Below are 4,922 nucleotides of genomic sequence, written 5' to 3' on the forward strand. Positions count from 1 at the left end.
TATAAACATCTCTATGCAGAGAAGCTAGACAATCTAGAGGAAATTGATAAATTCCTGAAAACACACAACTTCTCAAGTTTGAATTAGGAAGAAATTTAAACAGACCAGTATTGAGTTCCAAAATTGAATCAGTAATTTAAAAAACATACCAACTAAAAAAAAAAAAAAAAAGAAAGAAAGAAGGAAAGAAAAAGGAAAAGAAAAAACCTTGGACCAGATGGATTTCCTCCAAATTCTACAAGATATACAAAGAGTTGGTACCAGCTCTACTGAAACTATTTCAAAAAATCGAGGAGGAGGTATTCCTCCCTATCATTCTACAAAGTCAGCATCATACTGATACCAAAAGGTGGCAAAGACACAATAACAACAAAAGAAACCTACAAGCAAATATTCTTGATGAACATAGATGCAAAAATCCTCTACAAAATACTTGTAAACCAAATCAAGCAGCACATCACAAAGTTAATTCAGCACAATCAAGTAGCCTTTAATCCTGGGATGAAAGGTTGGTTCAACATATAAAAATCAATGAATGTTATTCACCACATAAACAGGATTAAAAACTAAAACCATATGATCATTTCAATAGACACAGAAAAAGCTTCCAGTAAAATTCAACATCCTGTCATAATAAAGACCCTCAAGAAACTAGGCATCAGAAGAACATACCTCAAAATAATACAAGTCATGTATGACAAACTCATAGACAACATCATACAGAACAGGGAAGTTGTAAGTGAGACAGCCAGGTGGGAGGGGGCCCCTAGAGGAACTCTAACCAGCCTGCCCACTGGACTGGAACCTCAGAAAGTTTGCACCCTTTGCAATGCGGAGGAGCCCAGCCCCTCCTCTTCCTGTGCGGAACCTGAGATTCAAATAGCCAGGTGGGAAGTGCTCTAGCAGGGTACTCTGGCCGTGTGGAGGATCCGTGTCCTTTCCCCACCCGCCCCCCGGCCCTTTTCACCCAATAAAACCCTGCTTTACTCACCCTTTAAACTGTCTGTGAGCCTAAATTTTCATGGCTGTTGGACAGACAAGAGCCCCCACATTTTTACCTGAACTAAGGAAAAGTTATGCAACGTTTTTGCCGCAAATGAGGGGCTCCAGAAGTGGTGAGTGAAATGGGAACTCAAAACCTCTCACTGTGATTTCTAAGCCTTTTCAACCTCAGACGTCTGAACTTACAAGAAACTGCACCCCCACTCCTTGTCGCTTCTGGGGTTTGAACCCCCATCCCTCTCCACTCCTGGGGGTTGGGGGCCTTTTCATGGCCTTTTCCTTCCTTTCTCAGGAAGAACCAAGGAGCAACAGCTCTCAGCCCCTCCCACCTCCATGCTGGGGCTGGGACGCGGTGCCCAAGGGTCCCACACAGCCAGCAGGCTGGTTCCCAGCCATGCTGCAGCAGCTTTCCCCTTCCCCAGCCAAACGGTTTCAACTCCACGGGACAGTAATTAAACTTTTCTCCCCAGCGGAGGAACCACTTGCCTAAGAATAAGAGGTTCTTCCCCAGATATTTTTAAACTGTTTCTTTTCTTTCCCCTACTCTACCCCATCAACAAATTAACCTTTAAAGTTTTTTTGGTTTTGTTTAGCAACCCTGCCTTAGGGAATGGTTCTTTCTGGTTTGATATCTGCATGTGGCCCTATCTCTTAAAGGGCCCCATCCAGCGACTGACTTTTCTTCTGCTTGTCTGTGTGTGCTCTACGTATGATGTCTGTAAAAAGAGCTCCCTGGCCAGCATGGTGAAACCCCGTCTCTACTAAAAATACAAAAAATTAGCTGGGCATGGTGGCGTGCACCTGTAATCCCATCTACTCTGGAGGCTGAGGCAGGAGAATTGCTTGAACCCGGGAGGCAGAGGTTGCAGTGAGCTGAGATCACGCCACTGCACTTCAGCCTCAGCAACAGAGAAAGACTGTCTCAAAAAAAAAAAAAAAAGAAGAGCTCTAATTACTTTGGCGTAAAGAAAGACAAGTGCCTGGATCTAATAATTTTAAGAAATAAAAGCTATGGTACCTTCCAGTTCTGTGACTGTAATCTTTGAGAAATAAAAACAGCCCCAAGGACTATTGGTAAAATGCAGGCCGGATGCAAGGTTTGCTAAGTGTTTTGAGGTTACGAACTGCTTTTTGGGTTTTGAGAACTGTCTGTCTTGCCTGCTTCACAATTGGTAAGGCCTGGGGATATATGGAACTAACCATGCCCTTAACTAAGAAGGCAAACCTTGACTGTAGTTAGCACATAATTAAAGCTAATGTACCAAGTTTTACCTTAAAGTTAACAATTGCTAGGAGTTACCATTATAACATGTAATTGAGACTACTGAAAACAGATTTACATGCAAGGTGTATAAGAACAGTAAAATCGTGTGTGTGTGTGTGTGTGTGTGTGTGTGTGTGTATGTGTTTTGTAAAAGGTTATAAGAAGACATGGAAATGTAAACTTTGGCCTAGGGTTAAAGGATTATATTGAGTTAAATTAGGAAAAAGCTGAAGTTTCAAAGAAGTGGTGGAAAAATTTTGGAAATTAATCTTGCAGAAGAGGTTCTCAGTGTGAGCATATTGACTAAATTAAAAAAAGTATTACATGTTTTTTCTCAATATAAATTGAGCTTCAAAATAAAAGCATAACAAGGTTTTTCTAAGGTACTAATCTTCTCTTTGGCAAAATTTGTAAAGGGTTATCAAAGGCTTTTGCTTCTTTAAAATTTCTGAGTCATCATTTTGGCAAAATAAATAATTTATGGTAATCTGGATTTCTATTTCGTAATATCAAGTGTTTTAAATCTTGAACATTTAACAGCATTCCCCAAATCAAACTTCAGTTTCAAAATTGTCTTCCCTGGCACCTGGCTTTTCAAATACTTCGGAGAGCCACTGAAGTGTCCGGAAAAGAGAGGTAAGCAGGATTATTTCACAAGTTTAGGTACATGGGATTGCCAAAATTATGCTCAATCTTCTTTAGGTTATATTTTTGTGAATAATGCTAACATATGTCCCAAAATTGTATGGGATTTCTAAAATTTTAATGTATAAGTGTATGCTATCAATCATAATTAAGGTTGTTAAGTTATCGTAAACCACGGAGATAACCAAACTTTGTTGTCAATTGTGTTTTTGACTGTGACTACCCTGGACATTTTGCTATTCACAGATAATTATTGTCTTGTTTTAATCCTTTTCAAAAGATGGTTTATAATTGGCTATAAGATTTTAACAGGTGCTCTCAAATACAGACTTCCGATAACTTTGGATACTGTAACATTTTAATAAAGGAAAATGAGCAGGACTTGTGAAGAGCTGAAATGTTTACGAATATCAAGAAAAACAACAGTTAATTAAATAGACTGAACTCAGGAAGCTGAAGCAACCTTTTTGACTTTTGCTTGGAATATTGCTGATCCTTCTTTTTCAGAGTCAATGAAACTTTTGAACTATTTACAGCCTTTAATAATTAAGTAAGGTATACACTCCTGTAATCAAGATTTGGAGCATGTTTGTTTCTCTCTGCCTGGTTCCTCTAGAATTTGGAAACGATGAGTATTCTTATGGCAATATAGTTGTTTGCATTAGTGCAATAAGAATCCAGTTTTCGTTAGAATGGCGATCATTAAAAAGTCAGGAAACAACAGGTGCTGGAGAGGATGTGGAGAAATAGGAACACTTTTGCACTACTGGTGGGACTGTAAACTAGTTCAACCATTGTGGAAGTCAGTGTGGTGATTCCTCAGGGATCTAGAACTAGAAATACCATTTGACCCAGCCATCCCATTACTGGGTATATACCCAAAGGATTATAAATCATGCTGCTATAAAGACACATGCACATGTATGTTTATTGCAGCACTATTCACAATAGCAAAGACTTGGAACCAACCCAAATGTCCAACAATGATAGACTGGATTAAGAAAATATGGCACATATACACCATGGAATACTATGCGGCCATAAAAAATGATGATGAATTCATGTCCTCTATAGGGACATGGATGAAGCTGGAAACCATCATTCTCAGCAAACTATCACAAGGACAAAAAAACCAAACACCACATGTTCTCACTCATAGGTAGGAATTGAACAATGAGAACACATGGACACAGGAAGGGGAACATCACACACCGGGGCTTGTTGTGGGGTGGGTAGATGGGGGAGGGATAGCATTTGGAGATATACCTAATGTTAAATGACGAGTTACTGGGTTCAGCACACCAACATGGCACATGTATACATATGTAACTAACCTGCACGTTGTGCACATGTACCCTAAAACTTAAAGTATAATTGAAAAAGAAAAAAGAATCCAGTTTTCTTTTCCAACAGAACACAATTGGACAAAGTGGTTATTTTACCAAGGCTTTGACTGGAAGGGTATGCTTCCCTTTAAGGAGTCAATCCCGACTTGCAGAGCCAATAAAAGCCCAGTGGGAAAACTGGCCTCATACCCTTGCCTACACAGTCCCTATACAGGGTTCCTGACTGGTGGTCAGTAAAGAATGTCACTTTCTAACAGGTCCAAGAGCCCCAAGTTTATTTTGGGACTTTAAGATGAAAGGATTACCCAACTCACAGGTATTTGAGGATGCAAACCCATGGCTGGGCTCGGCTTTCAACGGTCTTATCTGAAATTCCTTGTGGAATAAACTGTCATCAAAGCCAATCCGAAAGGCCTATGTAGACATAATTATTCTTGTTGTACTTTCCATTTAGTCCTATGATGATTTTTTTTAAAAATGAGGACTGGAGAAAGAAAGTAATCATGTTTCAAAACTTATACATTTGTCATTAAATTCTAAACTCAGTCGTTGTTTTTAAGGTTTTGCCTACATTTTAGACTTGCCCTGCTTGCTCCTGTGAACCAACCAGCAATTCCTGGCTTCAGTTCAGAAAGAACAAGAGGGATGGGTAATGTAGAAATGTG

General features: G+C 39.5%; 1 annotated feature.

The window, feature by feature from the left end:
• Positions 1,454–1,813: an enhancer, noted in NCBI's record as "active region_20201". NCBI's record gives its function as "activates an Ori minimal core promoter by ATAC-STARR-seq in GM12878 lymphoblastoid cells {active_cell/tissue: GM12878}" and the evidence as "EXISTENCE:reporter gene assay evidence [ECO:0000049][PMID:35858748]".

Source organism: Homo sapiens, chromosome 3 (genome assembly GCF_000001405.40).
Source record: "Homo sapiens chromosome 3, GRCh38.p14 Primary Assembly".
NCBI classification, from domain to species: domain Eukaryota; kingdom Metazoa; phylum Chordata; class Mammalia; order Primates; family Hominidae; genus Homo; species Homo sapiens.